The sequence below is a fragment of the Homo sapiens genome, chromosome 2, assembly GCF_000001405.40.
Source record: "Homo sapiens chromosome 2, GRCh38.p14 Primary Assembly".
In the NCBI taxonomy this organism is placed as follows: domain Eukaryota; kingdom Metazoa; phylum Chordata; class Mammalia; order Primates; family Hominidae; genus Homo; species Homo sapiens.
Genome location: NC_000002.12, coordinates 219,219,380 through 219,237,403, shown reverse-complemented (window position 1 = coordinate 219,237,403; position 18,024 = coordinate 219,219,380). Strand labels below are relative to the sequence as shown.

General features: G+C 52.9%; 3 protein-coding genes across 21 annotated transcripts in view, besides 7 other annotated features; 2 read left to right on the top strand and 1 right to left on the bottom strand.

Annotated features, from left to right (window-relative positions):
• Positions 1-806, top strand: part of GLB1L (galactosidase beta 1 like) — an 8,847-nt gene extending 8,041 nt beyond the window's left edge. For all 9 annotated transcript variants that reach the window (XM_017004895.2, NM_024506.5, XM_047445815.1 and 6 more), the window contains one exon: positions 57-806. In XM_017004895.2, coding sequence (XP_016860384.1) covers positions 57-332 — 276 coding nt within the window. In that variant the 3' untranslated portion in view covers positions 333-806. The remainder of the gene's footprint in view (positions 1-56) is intronic.
• ANKZF1 (ankyrin repeat and zinc finger peptidyl tRNA hydrolase 1) lies at positions 725-7,598 on the bottom strand. 9 transcript variants are annotated; one of them, NM_001042410.2, is made up of 14 exons: positions 7,446-7,598; positions 6,999-7,176; positions 5,364-5,476; positions 5,042-5,144; positions 4,721-4,914; positions 4,213-4,325; positions 3,971-4,118; positions 3,461-3,689; positions 3,116-3,271; positions 2,092-2,578; positions 1,819-1,930; positions 1,529-1,696; positions 1,309-1,394; positions 725-1,082 (listed from the first exon to the last, which is right to left on the bottom strand). In NM_001042410.2, the coding sequence occupies exons 2-14, from the start codon at positions 7,144-7,146 to the stop codon at positions 959-961; spliced, it is 2,181 nt and encodes a 726-aa protein (NP_001035869.1). In that variant the 5' UTR covers positions 7,147-7,176; positions 7,446-7,598; the 3' UTR covers positions 725-958. The 9 variants fall into 9 exon arrangements, with proteins under 9 accessions (NP_001035869.1, NP_060559.2, XP_011509694.1 ...); NM_018089.3 differs by having other exon boundaries at positions 7,504-7,598; XM_011511392.4 differs by having other exon boundaries at positions 3,116-3,268; positions 7,504-7,598.
• Positions 7,184-7,731: an enhancer, noted in NCBI's record as "H3K27ac hESC enhancer chr2:220094395-220094942 (GRCh37/hg19 assembly coordinates)". NCBI's record gives its function as "activates a minimal SCP1, AML or CMV promoter by ChIP-STARR-seq in primed H9 embryonic stem cells {active_cell/tissue: H9 hESC(primed)}" and the evidence as "EXISTENCE:reporter gene assay evidence [ECO:0000049][PMID:30033119]".
• Positions 7,404-7,513: an enhancer, noted in NCBI's record as "active region_17142". NCBI's record gives its function as "activates an Ori minimal core promoter by ATAC-STARR-seq in GM12878 lymphoblastoid cells {active_cell/tissue: GM12878}" and the evidence as "EXISTENCE:reporter gene assay evidence [ECO:0000049][PMID:35858748]".
• Positions 7,664-7,793: a silencer, noted in NCBI's record as "silent region_12350". NCBI's record gives its function as "represses an Ori minimal core promoter by ATAC-STARR-seq in GM12878 lymphoblastoid cells {active_cell/tissue: GM12878}" and the evidence as "EXISTENCE:reporter gene assay evidence [ECO:0000049][PMID:35858748]".
• Positions 7,664-8,279: a biological region, named in NCBI's record as "H3K27ac-H3K4me1 hESC enhancer GRCh37_chr2:220093847-220094394".
• Positions 7,732-8,279: an enhancer, noted in NCBI's record as "H3K27ac-H3K4me1 hESC enhancer chr2:220093847-220094394 (GRCh37/hg19 assembly coordinates)". NCBI's record gives its function as "activates a minimal SCP1, AML or CMV promoter by ChIP-STARR-seq in naive and primed H9 embryonic stem cells {active_cell/tissue: H9 hESC(naive and primed)}" and the evidence as "EXISTENCE:reporter gene assay evidence [ECO:0000049][PMID:30033119]".
• ATG9A (autophagy related 9A) lies at positions 7,768-18,024 on the top strand. Of its 3 annotated transcripts, none has more exons than NR_104255.2 (16): positions 7,768-7,869; positions 8,919-8,970; positions 9,351-9,482; positions 9,591-9,634; positions 10,471-10,535; positions 11,832-11,993; positions 12,192-12,333; positions 12,550-13,298; positions 13,382-13,476; positions 13,640-13,819; positions 14,511-14,759; positions 14,954-15,132; positions 15,237-15,354; positions 16,102-16,324; positions 16,512-16,657; positions 16,952-18,024. NR_104255.2 is itself a non-coding variant. In NM_001077198.3 (16 exons), the coding sequence occupies exons 3-16, from the start codon at positions 9,380-9,382 to the stop codon at positions 16,955-16,957; spliced, it is 2,520 nt and encodes an 839-aa protein (NP_001070666.1). In that variant the 5' UTR covers positions 7,768-7,869; positions 8,919-8,970; positions 9,351-9,379; the 3' UTR covers positions 16,958-18,024. The 3 variants fall into 3 exon arrangements, 2 of the variants coding, with proteins under 2 accessions (NP_001070666.1, NP_076990.4); NM_001077198.3 differs by having other exon boundaries at positions 13,382-13,535; NM_024085.5 differs by lacking the exon at positions 8,919-8,970 and having other exon boundaries at positions 13,382-13,535.
• Positions 8,004-8,053: a silencer, noted in NCBI's record as "silent region_12349". NCBI's record gives its function as "represses an Ori minimal core promoter by ATAC-STARR-seq in GM12878 lymphoblastoid cells {active_cell/tissue: GM12878}" and the evidence as "EXISTENCE:reporter gene assay evidence [ECO:0000049][PMID:35858748]".
• Positions 8,280-8,828: an enhancer, noted in NCBI's record as "H3K27ac-H3K4me1 hESC enhancer chr2:220093298-220093846 (GRCh37/hg19 assembly coordinates)". NCBI's record gives its function as "activates a minimal SCP1, AML or CMV promoter by ChIP-STARR-seq in naive H9 embryonic stem cells {active_cell/tissue: H9 hESC(naive)}" and the evidence as "EXISTENCE:reporter gene assay evidence [ECO:0000049][PMID:30033119]".

Below are 18,024 nucleotides of genomic sequence, written 5' to 3'. Positions count from 1 at the left end.
TACCCCTGGAGAGCTGACCCTTTCTTTTCCCCTCTTTCCTGCTCCCTATTCCCCAGGGCCAAGTCTGGATCAATGGGTTTAACTTGGGCCGGTACTGGACAAAGCAGGGGCCACAACAGACCCTCTACGTGCCAAGATTCCTGCTGTTTCCTAGGGGAGCCCTCAACAAAATTACATTGCTGGAACTAGAAGATGTACCTCTCCAGCCCCAAGTCCAATTTTTGGATAAGCCTATCCTCAATAGCACTAGTACTTTGCACAGGACACATATCAATTCCCTTTCAGCTGATACACTGAGTGCCTCTGAACCAATGGAGTTAAGTGGGCACTGAAAGGTAGGCCGGGCATGGTGGCTCATGCCTGTAATCCCAGCACTTTGGGAGGCTGAGACGGGTGGATTACCTGAGGTCAGGACTTCAAGACCAGCCTGGCCAACATGGTGAAACCCCGTCTCCACTAAAAATACAAAAATTAGCCGGGCGTGATGGTGGGCACCTCTAATCCCAGCTACTTGGGAGGCTGAGGGCAGGAGAATTGCTTGAATCCAGGAGGCAGAGGTTGCAGTGAGTGGAGGTTGTACCACTGCACTCCAGCCTGGCTGACAGTGAGACACTCCATCTCAAAAAAAAAAAAAAAAAAAAAAGTAACCCTTGGACCTGGGACATGGAGTGGGCAGGATCCCTTGGTGCTGGCCACGGTGACCCTAAGGAACTAAAGGCCACAGTGCCTCTGAATGTAAGTACAAGTACACATTCCTTGCCAAACTTTATTGTGATTAAAATTCCAGAGACAGTACCAGCTCCACATACCTCTAGCCCTGTCTTTGCCCTAGTTCCCGAGTGTCCTTCACCCCCATCTTCCAAATCATCTCTGGTTTCACGGGGAAGAAAAAACCTAGGGCTGCTGTGAATGTGCCCTCTCAGGTCCCTGAGTTGGCCCCAGGTAGAGCTGTAAGAGATCAGGAAGAGGGCCTCCCTGCCTGACGGCGATGATCCTGGAGGCAACGTGTGGAGCAGAAAGAGAAGTCGAGGTAGTGAAAGGGAGTCAGGCCTTGGAGGGATGCCCCACAACTCCAGCAGCGTCTGAACAAGAGGAAGAAAAATGGCTGGACAGGTACCCCAGAAACTTTCCAATCCACGCTCTCCCCGTCCCTCCTCCTGCCATTTCTGTTTTCACTGCAGCATCTGCCAGAACATCCCAAATTCCCTCAACCACCCTTCTGAATACTGTGCAGGTACTCATTTCTCTTGCCCCCAATGGTCCCTGCAACATTACAGTCCACCCACTCCCTCATCCCGCACCCCATACCGAGTATTGACGATTGCAGAGTCAGGGATTGGAGAGGTAGGGGCTCCCAACTGGGCAGCGAGTCGGCGCTCTGCAGCCAGAGCTCTCTGAGGGAGACAAGTTGTGTTAAGGACAAGGCCCCAGTGGCGAGTAGGGCACCCAAGAGGTGACAGCTGCACGCTGGGGAAGGGGTTAGACCTCTAGGAAGCCTTGCCATGGACAAGAGAACCTCCAGCCTCACCTTCTCTCGGTCACTGAGGGCGGCAAATCGCCGCTGCTCTTCTCGTTCACGCTCCTCCTGCTCCTGCTGCCTCTGCTGCTGTTCCTCCCGTTGCCGCCGGGCTGCCTTCTGCTCCCTTTTCCGTGTAGCCTGCCGTGCCTCCATTTCTGGTGTCAATGGTCCTGGCACCTGGAGGATTTCAAATATAAGACCCTATAAGTTATCTTTGGTAAAACTGCAAGAAGTAGAAAGGATCTAGCCAGGATCTGTGATGCCTTCCCACTCTGCTTGTCCTTCCTATTCCAGATGACCTGAGCCTTGTTGTAATCGTAGGCATCTGGATTCTTCTCCATGAACCTTCGGAACTCATTACGTGTTGATTTGTCAGCCGCAACAGTATAAGGTGGCCGGGCCCGAGAGTCCCTAGGTGCAAAAACTCCAAAAATGGGTTTAACTTGCCTCCTGCCTTTCCCAACATCACCCAACCAGACCAAGGGAATATTGCCAAGTAGCCAATGCCAACTTTAACCTCCAAATTATCCTCTCTATACCCAAAATGACTCAGGATGGGGACCTTTACTCACTGCACAGTGGGGTCAGCACCTGCTTCCAGCAGCAGACGAACCACTGAGCCTCTTCCAGCTGCAGCTGCTGCATGCAGGAGAGTAAAGCCACCGGAGCCCAAGGGGGCACTGAGCAGAGACAGAACTCTAGGGTCTGCAGGGCTGGGAGCTAGCTGCAGCTTTAGCACTCCAACATCTCCAGCTCGGCAAGCAGCAAGCAGTGCATTCCAGAGCTCTGGCTGACCAGGGGCTTTGGCCTCATCCAGCAAAGGGCCCAAGGGGGCAGCAACTGCCTGGGATGACTGTGTGGAAGGCTCCTCTTCTTGAGTTTGCTGGAGAAGAGTCCGATGTGCCCCAGCCTCCTGGTCTCGGCTTTTCTCCTTCTTATTCCTTTTTCTCCTCCTCCGCTTGGGCAATACTTCAGACTCACAAAGATCCAGAGTCCCCACAGTCAACTCCACTAGCTCCAACTCTACCTGAAAGCCATCTTCTCCCTCCGACCCTGAACCTAGGGAAAAACCTGACATGTGAAATCCATCTAGGGAGTACTCAGAGGGTAGAAGCAGATGCATAAGAATGAAAGCCTGAAATGAAATTGTTTTTATTTTGTCACCCAGATAAAAGTAGCACATCAAGAGCTGAGTCCATTATATCACATGCAGAAATGAGGCTCTCAGCCCAGACAAGAACAAGTCCCTGGACTCTCCGTATGAGTAGCCTTAGGGTGCCGCACAATAGAGGAAAGCATGGAAGCAGCCCTCAGCCTCAAACCACAGCATCCAATCAAAGATAAACTATGTGAGATCCATGCAACACATCCACGCATCTGCTCCACACAAAGATTTTCTTAGCTCTGGGGAAACATCCATAACAAAAGAGATAATAGATTTGGAAAGGTCACTAAACATGTCTCAGTAATTGCTAAGATAGACACTGTGGGTGTGTGTTTAAATAAGGAAATGGGTCAGTTATGAGAGTAGGGAATTTGCCAGTGCATTTTTAGGACAGAAACTCAGATCTGACAGTTGCCAGATAGTAATCAAACCCTGTTTGGGAGATTCCTCATTCTGCCCCAGCGCTTCCTTTTCATCCCTGCAGATCTTTCTTATTTCTTCCTCAGTAGGCTTCTTTCTCTCCTCTCTTACTGTTTTCCAGTGTGTCTGAGGTGAGTGCAGTCTGACTGCTTCCCGAGGGTCTTCTTCTGCCATAAAAGAAAAGATCTTTCTCAACCTTAGCTGAGGAGAAGCTAGCGCAGGTTTCTCTCAATGCAGATGTAGCTGGGCTGCAGTCCAAGGCTTAGAAAATCCTCTGGATATACCAATGAGAATGGAGGCTTAGGTTGGAGAGAACAGGAAGGTCTAGGGAATTGGGATCTGGAGCAAAGGCTCACCATAGACATGCAAAGTGGTCAGCTTATGGAGCACACGCTGTAGCTCTTGGAAGGTGGGTCTGCGGGTGGCGAGGGGGATATCCCAAAGTCGGGGATCCCCCCTTTGCAGGGGTGCTCCCTTGCCTCCAAAGAACAAAGACCGGCCAGAGCGGGGAGCACGCAACAGTATTGTACCAGCCTCCTCCAGCGCCTTAGCCCAGCTTGGCCCTGCCAGCAGGTCACGAACATCCTAGAGAAGAGAGTAACTCAGTCCTGCATACCTTCACTTGCTATTTATAAATCTCCAACTAAAAAAAATGGCCCACAGAAGTGCAAGGGGTGGAAAGTAGAGGATAACACGGAGAAAGAATAGAGGACTAAGGCTCCTGGGGAATCCCTCATCTACCTTTGTCTACCTATAATGAAAATTGGAAGGATATGAGTCAAAAACCTCCCTACTTAACAGTGAGTTGAACAGAGATGCAAAAAAAGTATGGATCAGTACCACCAGATCTAAAAGGCTTAACTCACCTTATATAGTGTGGCTTCATTGTAGCGCCTCAGGTTGGCTCCAGCAGAGTGTGATGGCCCACCTCGGGCATCCCGAAGCCCCTGGGCTGTGCCCCGCTTGGCCCGAACCGTATAGCGGTGAAAAGTTTTGTGTGTCACCACTTCTCTTCTGTAGACAGCACAGACTCAGTACTGGAGACCAGCTGGTGCTCCCTGGCTAACAGGATCCACTCCATCCTTACCCCCATGCAGCACCCTCTCACCCTTGAAATATAGCACCAGCAAAGTGCCCAGCTGCAGCCATGAGCACCACGCAGTCTCTGGGACCTCTACTTTGCAGGTTCTGTAGCAGCAGTTCTGCCTCTTCTGGGGGATCCTTGATGACAGAGAAGCATCAGAAACATATCTGTTGCATTCACTGAGAGCAAGAAACTAAGGGCCAATTTTCACAAACATTATCTCATTTAATATTACCACCCTGAGGCTTGTTTCCATTTGACAAACAAGGAAATTTGAGGCTTGGCGAGGCAGTCAAGATGAAGTGGTAGAATCACAATTCAAACCTAAATTGGTTTGTTTCCAAACTTAATTCCATTACACTTAACCCTTCCACAATTCAGGCCAGTTTCAATTCAAGACTATGTTGTCAAGCGTGATACCCACAACCAACAGGAAGGAAGAGAAGCAGGGAGAAATGCACTAGGCTAAGGGAAATCTAGGCTGGGTGTACAAAAGGCTGGGGTTAGCCATGCAACCTGTACTGTCACTTGCCTGATGAGGGCCTAGGACACAGCGGTAGGCATAAAGAAACTGGCCCTGGGCATTCTGGAAAAGAACTCGATGAGGGTAAAAGCCTGGGGGTCGGCTCAACTTCTCAAATGTAGCCCTCTCCCGATCCAGTGTCTGCAAGTCCTCCTCACTGGCTGAGTCTGAGTCTTCTGATCCCGAGATGCTGGAAAGATCTCCTGAAGACAGACAATATGAGATACACAAGTTTGGTACCCCATTTTTGTTCTTTCCTCAAACTCTAAACTAGTGCTTTCTTATACCTCCATGTCCTACTCCTACATAGGTCCCCCTACCACTCATCACCTGTGGAGCTCTGCTTTTCAAAGTCCAGGGCAGACAGGAGAGGCTTGTCCTTGAGACGTTGCTTTAGGTTAAACCGATGCCAGTCAAGCTTATAATGTTCCCTCTAGTACAAAGACAAAGAGTGAGATAAAGGTGGAAATATGCCCCAGCCTGGCCTTGTACTGGCCAAGACCAGTTATAGTATTCTAGGAAGTACAACCAGGTAACACCAACTGCCTCAGTCAAAGCATGGACCTTTATTAAGACAAATCAAATGTCTACCTCTCCCCACCCACCATTACACTTTTGCTTCTAACATCTAGCTCTGCACCTGACCTATTACCTGTTCTTGGTGGTTCTGGAAGGTCTGGTCACAAGTTGAACAAAATAACTTCTCTGAAATATCCATAGGACCCTGGAGTAGCTTTCTTTCTGGGCTTTCTCTCTCCCCTGAGCCTAAATAAGGGAAGAGGAATTGGACATAGAAAGGGAGCCCAAATCCACAGTGACAAGAATTATATTCAGAGTGTGATATACAAAGCAGAGGAGGATACAAAAGAGATGGCATGATACTGCCTTCAAGGAATTTACACTCTAATAGTCATGAAATAAACAGTACAGCAATCACTTAATGCAATAAACATGCTTCTGAAAACATGTACGTAAAATGAATGTAAATAAAATAAAATTGGCCAGGTGCAGCGGCTCACGCTTGTAATCCCAGCACTTTGGGAGGCCAAGGCAGACGGATCATGAAGTCAGGAGATCAAGACCATCCTGGCTAACACGGTGAAACCCCGTCTCTACTAAAAATACAAAAAATTAACCGGGTGTGGTGGCGGATGCCTGTAGTCCCAGCTACTTGGGAGGCTGAGGCAGGAGAACGGCATGAACCGGGGAGGCGGAGCTTGCAGTGAGCCGAGATCACACCACTGCACTCCAGCCTGGGCAACAGAACGAGACTCTGTCTCAAAAAAGATGAAGAAAAATAAAATAAATAAAACGAATGTAAATAAAAACTGGCCCTGGGCATTCTGGAAAAGAATCCGATGAGGGTAAAAGCCTTGGGGTCGGTTAAACTTCTCCAACGTAGCCCTCTCCCGAGATCCAGCGTCTGCAAGTCCTCCCCACTGGCTGAGTTTGAGTCTTGTCTAATTTAAATTAGCCAAACAGATTGTTTAGGTGAATCCTAAAGAAAATAATTTCTGTTCAGTTTAAAATTATTTTTCACTGCACAAAAACTACTTCCCAAATGCTTTTTAAAGTTTACATTTCCAATTAGTGTACAGTTTGTCTAAGGAGAGGTGCAAGAAAAGATGTAGCCAAACTAAAGTTACACAAAACAGGACCGACACGGTGGCTCATGCCTGTAATCTCAGCACTTTGGGAGGCTGACCCAGGCGGATCACTTGAGGCCAGGAGTTTGAGACCAGCCTGGCCAACATGGTGAAACCCCGTCTCTACTAAAAATACAATAATTAGCCGGGCATGGTGGTGCGGGCCTGTAGTCCCAGCTACTCGGGAGGCTGAGGCAGGAGAATCACTTGAACCCGGGAGACGGAGATTGCAGTGGGTGGAGATCGTGCCACTGCACTTTAGCCTGGGCGACAGAGCGAGACTCTCAAAAAATAAAGCTATACGAAACAAATAATAAATTGTTTCATATTCAGCAAAAAGGAATAATTTGAGTGGGGCCTGGTTAAATGTGGAATACATCTGAGAATTTTATCTCTACAAAGTTTAAAGTGTTTTTGAAGGGAATGGTGTTAACGTGAGGAGATACATGCAATGGCAAAAAGACTTGTTTGAAAACAAGGGCTGTGCTGGACATTACCCAGAGATTAAGTGAATTTAATCAAGCAGAAAGATAAATCAATTGGCCTCCTAAGCTCGGGAATACCAATAAGAATGTGTTCCCTGAACGGGCAATACGCTGTAAGGAGCCCTGTCACGTTTCACACGAAACCTTCCAGGATACCTGAACAGGAAGTACGCGGAGCCCGGGCCAGAGCCTCCCCAGGCGCGTGGCTCACCAGGCTCAGGCCCTGAAAGACCGGAGCATCCGCGCTGAGGTCAAACAGGGAGATCGACGCAGGAGCCGGGGCTGCATCTGGAGCCGGCGACATGGCTGAGCAGAAATTATTTAGCAGCAGCTCCTGGAGTAGAAAGCGTGTAAGAAACAGGGCTCCTGCAAACGAGATCCTACTGCTGCGTCTCCTGCCTGCCTGACTTGGTTTCTCCTGCACCGCAAGACTTCTCGTCTCTCATCCTGCTACCAACTGTGAGATGAATACCTTGGCCCCCGTCCACTTTCTCAAACCCCCAGTCTCAGCCCACAAAAGAATGAAATAGGCATTCGGCTCCCAAATCGAGTCCAACAGAGTTAAAAATCACTGAGCTTGCCTAGCCGAACTTTCTTCGTTACCCATGCGACCAGCAACAACTGGCCCGCGTAAACTCGCCCACGCCCTTAGAAGACGCACCAAACGTCCCGGGAGCTGAGCGGCTCGCAAGTCCTCAGGTCGATTGCCGGATTTCTGCAACACAACAATCCCCGTCACTACGGAGCAGCGAAGAGGACAACCGGCGGCGTCCGCACCTGAGCCCCGCCCCACGTAGAGCACACTATTGGGCCGCTGACTGTCCAAGACCCGCCTCGAGACTTTAGTCCCGTCCCTGAAGCCGAGAATTGGCCGTTGTGTCTCCGCCCCCCGTGCTTATTGGCCAGCCTGGCTGCGGGTGACAGTGAGTGGCAGACACCCGGCCTAGCGCCGCGGGTCGCGCCGAGCCGAGCCGAGCCGAGCGGAGCCGGCGGAGCCTCTGGAATCACCCGGGTCGCTGTTCCTGAGGTAAGACGTGAGACCGGTTATTGGAATCCCAGGCCCCGTGTCTGGCCTTGCCCAGGGGTGCCTGCGGAGCCCTAAGTGAGCTCGCGGCGGGTAACGGAGGAAGGGGCGCCGCCGGCGGGGCGGGGGCGCGCAGCCGGAATGTTTTGATTGCTGGCGCGCGCAGACGGGGGCGCGCGCGGGCGCCGGGGCCGCGCGCGAGGTTGTCCGCTGTTGGGAGCTGCCAGCCCTTGGCCTGGGGCCGGGCGACCCTGGGGCGAGGTGGACTCCGGTCCACGGTCGCCGCGGCTGGGTGTGGGGAGGCAAGCCAACCCACCCGGGCTATCAGCTGTAAGGCTGACTCGATCCCTGCAACATCCGCAGGAACCCCTGAGCCCAGGCCCAGCCGGCCGGGGCTCCACGGGCCCTGGTCCACACTGACCCTGTGAGTGGTGACTTCCCTGAGGGGCAGGGCTCTCACTAGCCCAGGGAATCCCACCGGGGCCAGGCTGGGCCAAGATCCACGGCCCCCAGGGGCTGCACGGACAGGTGAGTACCACCTCGACCATGCCTGGCTTACAGGACCTAGGGAACCCACAAATTCACCTAGGATCGGGGGTCTACACTGACCCAGTCAAGGTTTCCCATCCAGAAGGTTTGCTCACCGGCTGGATCTTTGGTGCTAGGGAAGTAAGAGAAGGGGTTGACCAGAAAGGTCCTCTTCAGGAAAGACTCTTGAGGTTTTGTGGACCCTGAGAAGTATGTCATTTCTGAGGCTAAGGTAGGGCAATGGAGAAATAGTCCAGAGGCGCCCCTGGCCTCAGGTCTGTACCCACTCATTCTCCATGGGGTCCCTAAGTTACTTCTTGAGACCCTGGAGTTGGAAGAGTGGCCCGGTTTAGCACAGCCAGAGGAAGTGCTCGTAGTCCTGGGCTGGAAGGGTGCTTCTTCCCCACTGCAGCCTTCCTGCCCCATGCTTGGCCTCCTCTTGGTGGGGTGTGGATGGCTGGGAGGGTTGGGTTCCTTTTTATCCCCACTGCCCACTCTCTGGGGCCTGACATCTTCTCCTCCAGCAGCTGCAGAGCATCGAGGGCTGGAGAGGAGCACATACTGTCCATGGAGCTGGTAGGGCCATGTGCTTTTCTCAAACATTTGTTTGTGAAGTGCTTCCAAACTGTTAGTCTCTTGGGAGACCAGGGTTCCCAGGATGGGCGGGGGAGGGACTCTTCTGTCCGTTAAATAGAAGATGAAACAGCCCCCAACAAAGGGACAGATTCTGGCTTTGGGCCAGGAAAGCAGCAGTAGACACCCAGACTGGCCAGAGTTAAGGCTCCCCCAGCCCTGAGCTTACTGCCTTTCTTGTGTCACTACTCCTCTGCCTCTGAGCCAAGGAGGCTGGTAGTGGACAAAGCCCAAGGGTACTTTCTCCTTTTGGCAGTAGGCAGGGCAGCCCATGGGCAGCAGCTGGAACTGAATCAGGGTCTCTTCTTCCTCCTTATTGGCAGGTGGTCAAGGTGGACAGGGGGCGGTGGTGATGGCGCAGTTTGACACTGAATACCAGCGCCTAGAGGCCTCCTATAGTGATTCACCCCCAGGGGAGGAGGACCTGTTGGTGCACGTCGCCGAGGGGAGCAAGTGTGAGTTCTTGGATATGACAGCCATAGGGAGAGTTGATGGAAGAACATGGAGAGAGCAAGGGGCTTGTGTTCTCCCAGGGCTCTGACATCTCTGTTCCTATCCCACAGCACCTTGGCACCATATTGAAAACCTTGACCTCTTCTTCTCTCGAATATCCTTTGTGTTTCTGAGTTGGAGCTCTGGGACCTTTAATGTCTCTCTAAGCCGGGGCTCTGGTGGGAGGTGGGGGTAGGTTTGACTCTAATACCTGGAAACGGGAATGGAGCTCATCCTGAGGCTGAAAGAGGCTGGTGAAATCATCGTTAAGTAATGATAGCCCACATTTACCAAGATCTGTGTGCCTGTGTCCACTTTGTGGTGTTAATTTGTAGAAGCCTTTCTAAGGGTGAGCCTCCTTTTTTTTTTGTTTGAGATGGAGTCTGTCTCTGTTGCTGCTAGAGTCCAGGGGCGATCTCAACACACTGCAACCTCCACCTCCTGGGTTCAAGAGATTCTCCTGCCTCAGTCTCCCACGTAGCTGGGATTACAGGCACCTGCCACGATGCCCAGCTATTTTTTGTATTTTTCATAGAGACAGGGTTTCACCATGTGGCAAGGCTGGTCTCGAACTCCTGACCTCAAGTGATCCACCTGCCTTGCCCTCCCAAAGTGTTAGGATTACAGGCGTGAGCCACCACACCCAGCCGAGCCTCCTTTTTGATGGGATGTAAATAATCGTAATAAGTAACGTCTTTTGACTCATTCTGTGTCAGCTCTGTGTTAAATGCTTTACATGCATTATCTTAGACCTAATACTCCTATGAGACAAGTGTTATTTATTCCTAATGTACCACCATGGACAGACAAAAGTTTAGACAGGTTAAGTAACTTGGTAAAGTCACACAGCTAGAAAGTCACAGAGCCAGGACTTAAGCTTGAGTGTGTTGACACCAAAGTCTGTGCTCTTACCTGCTTTCTTTACTGACTACTTTTTCTTAACAATTACACGTTTATAATCTGCACCAGAAGAATGGCTTCACATGTATGCTCATCGGGGAGATCTTTGAGCTCATGTAAGTATAAGAAGGGACAGATGATGTGGTGAAAGAATACATCTTAGTCTTTCCTCTCCTTGCACTCACACTTGGCCCAACCTGCCAGTACAACTCAGTCCTAGGCTAAAACTCCGTAAACCTTTGTAGTTCAGGGACTGGGTGTGGCACCAAAACTTACAGCTTCACCTTTCTTTTTTTTTGAGATGGAGTGAGTCTCACTCTGTCGCCCAGGCAGGAGTGCAGTGGTCTTGGCTCGGTGCAACCTCTGCCTCCCAGGTTCAAGTGATTCTCCTGCCTCAGCCTCCTTAGTAGCTGGGACTACAGGCATGTGCCACCATGCCCGGCTAATTTTTTTTGTATTTTTAGTAGAGATGGGATTTCACCAAGTTGGCCAGGCTGGTCTCGAACTCCTGACCTCGGGTTATCTGCCCGCCTCAACCTCCCGAAGTGCCGGGATTATAGGCATGAGCCACCACGCCCGGCCAAGCTTTCTTACAAGAAAAGCTTTCCAAGCCTTATCTCTTCCATGAAAAGAACCCAAGCCTTGGTTGGGCACGGCAGCTCACACCTGTAATCCCAGCACTTTAGGAGGCTCTAAAAATACAAAAATTAGCTGGGTGTGGTGGCACACGCCTGTAATCCCAGCTACTTGGGAGGCTGAGGCACAAGAATCGCTTCAACCTGGGAGGTGGAGGTTGCAGTGAGCCGAGATTGTGCCGCTGCACTCCAGCCTGGCTGACAGAGTGAGACTCTCTCAAAAAAAAAAAGAATGCAGGCCTTGACCTTGATCATCTCAACGCTCCAATGGAACGTACATTGTTCAGTCAGGAGGTCTCAGAGATGCCAGCCACAGAGAAAAGCCTCTGTTCTGCCTTGCCTGTTCCATGGCCTGCTCCTAGGCAGAGAGCCTCCTGGGAGAGAGAAGCCATATAGCATTGCCGAAGGGGAAGGGGTTAGGAAGCCCTCCCTCAATCAGAAAACTCCCCCAAGGGCTTTTAACTACAACCTCAAAAGGAAATCAGAGACTGGAGATCAGAGACCCACAGGATGAAACCTTCGAGAGTCCAGTAGTGGTGGCTGAGGTTACCATGAGGTGAGGAAAGTAGGCTGCAGCTGTGGCAGCTGAGGCTAAGAGCAAAGAGTGGGCCTGAGACAGTCCTGTGGGGCTGAGGAGCAGAGAGGGCCCACTGGGAGTTCTCCAGGCCCTTCCAGTTCCCAGTCTTGTTCTGCCACCTCCAGACTCTCCTCTTCCCACTGGGTTTCACTGGAGCCTCTCTGGCTCTCAGACTGCACCCCTTCTTCCCAACTCCCCAGGCAGTTCCTCTTTGTGGTTGCCTTCACTACCTTCCTGGTCAGCTGCGTGGACTATGACATCCTATTTGCCAACAAGATGGTGAACCACAGTCTTCACCCTACTGAACCCGTCAAGGTCACTCTGCCAGACGCCTTTTTGCCTGCTCAAGTCTGTAGTGCCAGGTAAGGGCTGCAAGTCAAGAGGACACCATAGCCTTGAGTTCTGCTAGCAGGTGGGTAATAGAGTGGAGTCTGAGGCAGCAACTCATACTCCAGAACTGACTCAGGCTTGGTCTAGCAAAAATACTTCAGGATAGCAGCGTCTCTGCCAAGACTCCTTCCTCGAGGGCCACCTCTCCTCCCCTTCTTTTTCCCCACCAGGATTCAGGAAAATGGCTCCCTTATCACCATCCTGGTCATTGCTGGTGTCTTCTGGATCCACCGGCTTATCAAGTTCATCTATAACATTTGCTGCTACTGGGAGATCCACTCCTTCTACCTGCACGCTCTGCGCATCCCTATGGTAAGACTGGGAAGTTGGGCAGTTAGCCCATAGTCTAAGACGTATTGGGAGGTGTGGGTGTATTCCTGGGCATCAGTTATCCTTATCTGTCATTGACAAATCAGGAACTGTCTCTTAAGCTCACAACCCCTGAATCTCACTTCTAATATAGGGCAAAGGGGTCGAGGCAACAACCCCACCTTCCGTACCTTGTCTCTTCCCCACCCCACCCCGCAGTCTGCCCTTCCGTATTGCACGTGGCAAGAAGTGCAGGCCCGGATCGTGCAGACGCAGAAGGAGCACCAGATCTGCATCCACAAACGTGAGCTGACAGAACTGGACATCTACCACCGCATCCTCCGTTTCCAGAACTACATGGTGGCACTGGTTAACAAATCCCTCCTGCCTCTGCGCTTCCGCCTGCCTGGCCTCGGGGAAGCTGTCTTCTTCACCCGTGGTCTCAAGTACAACTTTGAGCTGATCCTCTTCTGGGGACCTGGCTCTCTGTTTCTCAATGAATGGAGCCTCAAGGCCGAGTACAAACGTGGGGGGCAACGGCTAGAGCTGGCCCAGCGCCTCAGCAACCGCATCCTGTGGATTGGCATCGCTAACTTCCTGCTGTGCCCCCTCATCCTCATATGGCAAATCCTCTATGCCTTCTTCAGCTATGCTGAGGTGCTGAAGCGGGAGCCGGGGGCCCTGGGAGCACGCTGCTGGTCACTCTATGGCCGCTGCTACCTCCGCCACTTCAACGAGCTGGAGCACGAGCTGCAGTCCCGCCTCAACCGTGGCTACAAGCCCGCCTCCAAGTACATGAATTGCTTCTTGTCACCTCTTTTGACACTGCTGGCCAAGAATGGAGCCTTCTTCGCTGGCTCCATCCTGGCTGTGCTTATTGCCCTCACCATTTATGACGAAGATGTGTTGGCTGTGGAACATGTGCTGACCACCGTCACACTCCTGGGGGTCACCGTGACCGTGTGCAGGTGGGCCAGGGCCACAGGCGGGAGCAAGCCGGCTAGCATTCCTGGGAAAGGCATACATCTCACCATGATCCTGATCCCACTAGGTCCTTTATCCCGGACCAGCACATGGTGTTCTGCCCTGAGCAGCTGCTCCGCGTGATCCTCGCTCACATCCACTACATGCCTGACCACTGGCAGGGTAATGCCCACCGCTCGCAGACCCGGGACGAGTTTGCCCAGCTCTTCCAGTACAAGGCAGTGAGTGGAGTTGGAGTTAGGGCCTGCTAGAGACTGGCTGGTAGCTCGGTGGTGAGGGCTGGGCTCCCTCCTGCTCGCTTGTGACCTTGGTCCCGCCCTTTTAGGTGTTCATTTTGGAAGAGTTGCTGAGCCCCATTGTCACACCCCTCATCCTCATCTTCTGCCTGCGCCCACGGGCCCTGGAGATTATAGACTTCTTCCGAAACTTCACCGTGGAGGTCGTTGGTGTGGGAGATACCTGCTCCTTTGCTCAGATGGATGTTCGCCAGCATGGTCATCCCCAGGTACTGGGAGAGGAGGGAGCCAGGTGGCCTGGGATGATGCTGGAACATACAGTGTCTTTGGGAAAACCGCAAAAAGACACCTCTCCTGAGTCACACAAAGGCAGTCCTATACCAGGGGCACACTGCTTGGGAGCCTGGGCTGGATTTCAGCCCTAATTCGCACCCTTGGCCAAGCTCCCTTAAGAAAGGCACAACACGGCCAGGCGCGGTGGCTCACGTCTGTAATCCCAGCACTTTGGGAGGCCAAGGCGGGTGGATCACGAGGTCAGGAGATCGAGACCATCCTGGCTAACACGGTGAAACCCCTTCTCTACTAAAAATACAAAAAAATTAGCCAGGCGTGGTAGCGGGCGCCTGTAGTCCCAGCTACTCGGGAGGCTGAGGCAGGAGAATGGCGTGAACCTGGGAGGCGGAGCTTGCAGTGAGCCGAGATCACGCCACTGCAATCCAGCCTGGGCGACAGAGCGAGACTCCATCTCAAAAAAAAAAAAAAAAAAGGCACAACACAAGTAACTGGCTCAGCATGCAGTGCAGCCCCTCCTGGGTCTGGGGGGGCACCAGTGCCCTGGGAAAGATTGACAGTATACTGTGGTCTCCGTTCTCCAAGGGTAAGGCCTCCCCACTAACAGGAAAGGTGCAGGAAGGCTCCTGGAAGAGAACAGCCCTGCTTACTCTGCTCTTCCTTGTGCAGTGGCTATCTGCTGGGCAGACAGAGGCCTCAGTGTACCAGCAAGCTGAGGATGGAAAGACAGAGTTGTCACTCATGCACTTTGCCATCACCAACCCTGGCTGGCAGCCACCACGTGAGAGCACAGCCTTCCTAGGCTTCCTCAAGGAGCAGGTTCAGCGGGATGGAGCAGCTGCTAGCCTCGCCCAAGGGGGTCTGCTCCCTGAAAATGCCCTCTTTACGTCTATCCAGTCCTTACAATCTGAGTCTGAGGTGTGTTCCTGGTGACTGGGAGATGATGGGCAGAGTGGACTTCAGGAGCTGGGAGTTGAGGGACCGGGCATGGGGTGGAAGGCTTCCTGCTGTCTCTTCAGTATGTGCCACTGGGGCCTGAGATACAGAATACTAGGGGACCCCAGAGACCTTTCTCTTGCCTCAAGAATTCTACCTACCCGTTTCGTTCATAGCCCCTGAGCCTTATCGCAAATGTGGTAGCTGGCTCATCCTGCCGGGGCCCTCCACTGCCCAGAGACCTGCAGGGCTCCAGGCACAGGGCTGAAGTCGCCTCTGCCCTGCGCTCCTTCTCCCCGCTGCAACCCGGGCAGGCGCCCACAGGCCGGGCTCACAGCACCATGACAGGCTCTGGGTGAGTAAATCGGGGCCAAGATGGGAGGGCACGGCAGCCCTCAGCAGCTTGTGTGGGTCTCAGAGAAGTTCACAGCTGCTGTCTGTCTCTGTTGGGAGAGACAGGGTGGATGCCAGGACAGCCAGCTCCGGGAGCAGCGTGTGGGAAGGACAGCTGCAGAGCCTGGTGCTGTCAGAATATGCATCCACAGAGATGAGCCTGCATGCCCTCTATATGCACCAGGTGAGTGCACAGCTAAAAAAGAGAGTAGAGGGTTTAGATGCGGAGAAGCAAGACCGGGGTTCCAAACCCTTCTCTGCCATTTACTTGTTCTGCCACCTCCACTCCCATATCTACCTTCTTAATATCCTTTTTAGCTAAGCCTGCTCTCATCCAGGGCCTTCACACACTCGCAGTTTCCCCTGCCTAGAATCCAGTTCCCTGGGATATCCAGATGGCCTCCTCCTTCTTCTTGGGTCTCTGCAGCTGCCGTTTCCCTGAGACTTTCTCTGATCACTCTCAGTAAAAGGCTCCCTTGCCCACCCTCCTGAATCTTCCTGTCTTAGTTTTCTCCATAGCATTTAGCACCATGTGACATATCATGTTTTTTCCTTATTTATTTGCTTATTCCATATCTCCTCTACCAGTATATAAGCCTCACAAGGGCTGGCATTTCTGTCTGTTTTGTTCACTGCTATCTCCCCACACCTAAAAGAGTGCCTGGCACTTAGACCGTCAGTCAGTTTGTTCCTGAATCAAATGAATAGGTAAAATGAGGGCCATTACAACACAGGCTTCTTCCGGGGATCTGCTGTGAATGTAACCTGTAAAGATCAGAGGTATATTACACACTATTAACATAATAGGTGCTCTGAGGCAAGGATTCTCAGGGAAGGGGTAAAGCGGGAACTGACTGATACCAGGTTGGAGGGCAGCTGTTTCAGATGGACATCCGTCTGTCCCCCACTAACGAGCCCCCCATTTCTCCAGCTCCACAAGCAGCAGGCCCAGGCTGAACCTGAGCGGCATGTATGGCACCGCCGGGAGAGTGATGAGAGTGGAGAAAGCGCCCCTGATGAAGGGGGAGAGGGCGCCCGGGCCCCCCAGTCTATCCCTCGCTCTGCTAGCTATCCCTGTGCAGCACCCCGGCCTGGAGCTCCTGAGACCACTGCCCTGCATGGGGGCTTCCAGAGGCGCTACGGTGGCATCACAGGTATCCAGTGGGGGTATAGGAGGAAACAGAGGCTGCAGGGAAGGGTGGTTCTTCCAGGGCCTCTCAAGGGGAGGAAAGAGGTCTGAGAGAACAGGCCCAAAGACTCACCCCCCAAGCAGCCCCCCAGCCCTGTTCCTCATTCTTGTGTTCCTTCTATGAGTATGCTTACTCTTACTTGTCTCTCCAGATCCTGGCACAGTGCCCAGGGTTCCCTCTCATTTCTCTCGGCTGCCTCTTGGAGGGTGGGCAGAAGATGGGCAGTCGGCATCAAGGCACCCTGAGCCCGTGCCCGAAGAGGGCTCGGAGGATGAGCTACCCCCTCAGGTGCACAAGGTAAGGGCCCCGGGGCCTAGGAAAAACTGCCAGAAATAGTAACTTCCAGGGTGAGGTAACAGCTTTTCAGGGGAAGGAAGATATGCCCCACCCCCACACAGAGATACTGTACCCTCCCTTCCAAAACACACTACCCCTTCTTTTCTCAACTGCTCTGCAGGGCTTGGTTTTTCCTTACCTTACCTCCCCAGGAATCAACCTTTCCTGTCCCTTTACCTCTAGGTTTCTATGGGGCTAGCAGGTATCAACCAGAAGCTGAAGACTATCTCCATTACCAACCCTTTCTCCCCACAGGTATAGACAAGGCTGAGCAGGGTTCCTGTGGCCCAGGATGGAGGCCACCGCTGCCCTGCCATCCCGTCTGCCTGCCATGGGACGGCTCCTCTGAGTGTTCCCTGGCCCCACGTGTGTGGTGTTTGTGTGTCTGTGCCTGGCCAAGGGAGGTGCCAACACTGGGCTTGCCACAGCCCCAGGAGAGGAATTTGGGGCCTAGGAACCGAGGGCACACGGGACTCTAGCCTCATCCCCAGGACCCCCTTGGCTCAGAGTGTGGTGCTAGAAACTGGCCCCCAGCCCAGCCCCAGTACTGCCACCTTTACACCTACCCCTGCAAGTCCCCAGAGGGCTGCCCACGATAGAAGCTGCCAAGCAGGGAGAACCTGTGCCAACTGTGGAGTGGGGAGGTTGGGCCTGGACCCTCAACCCCTGCAACCTTCCCTAGCCCCCTCAATAGATGAGCAGGTCAGGCTGTGGCCCTTACCTCACCCGCAGTTCTCGCCCAGTGCTGCAGCCGGCTCACCTCTCTCCGCTTCTTGCACATCACTGGCCTGTGTGTGCTGCTTGCTCCTGTTCTGTTCGCTTGCTCCCGTTCCGTTCGGCTTTTGCTTTGCGTTAGGGTGAAGACCCTAGCGTCCAGCTCCCCTCAACGCTATATTTTGACACTAAAAAAGAAGGTTTCTAAATTGTAGGAGCAGGATGGAAATACTTTGCTGCCCTTGCCATCTTTTAGGATGGGCCCCCAGGAGACTGAGGTCTTCCTGGGCCCTCATTGCTGCTTATCGTACCCCCCATCACCTGCACATGGGACAGACCGGGCTGGAGGGTGACCTTGGCTGTGTGCGTCCCAGCAAAAGAGCTCTGGCCCGCATCTCGCTGTGCCCTGAAGGGGGATGAAGGGCGATGCCTCGCCCGAGGCTTTGGGCTGCTGCACTGCATGCTGGGACTGCTCCTACTCTCTGTCCCACCCCTCACCCAGCTGTGGTCCGGCTTTGGGAGAGTGGTGAATTGCGCTGCCCGAACTCGGAGCGGAGCAGGGTAGGGACCGTGTACAGCTTGATAACCCTTAATAAAAAGGGAGTTTGACCAGA

Bases quoted from the DNA above. Each gene is read 5' to 3' on its own strand.
- ANKZF1 (NM_001042410.2), bottom strand. From the start codon at position 7,146: ATGTCGCCGGCTCCAGATGCAGCCCCGGCTCCTGCGTCGATCTCCCTG. The intron at 1,697-1,818 runs GTCATCTGGAAT...GAAATCCTCCAG, and splicing joins ACGATTACAACAAGGCTCAG to GTGCCAGGACCATTGACACC. The intron at 1,083-1,308 runs GTATGGGGTGCG...CCTCTTGTTCAG, and splicing joins TCTGCAATCGTCAATACTCG to ACGCTGCTGGAGTTGTGGGG.
- ATG9A (NM_024085.5), top strand. From the start codon at position 9,380: ATGGCGCAGTTTGACACTGAATACCAGCGCCTAGAGGCCTCCTATAGT. The intron at 13,820-14,510 runs GTACTGGGAGAG...TTCCTTGTGCAG, and splicing joins GCCAGCATGGTCATCCCCAG to TGGCTATCTGCTGGGCAGAC. The intron at 16,325-16,511 runs GTATCCAGTGGG...TTGTCTCTCCAG, and splicing joins GCGCTACGGTGGCATCACAG to ATCCTGGCACAGTGCCCAGG.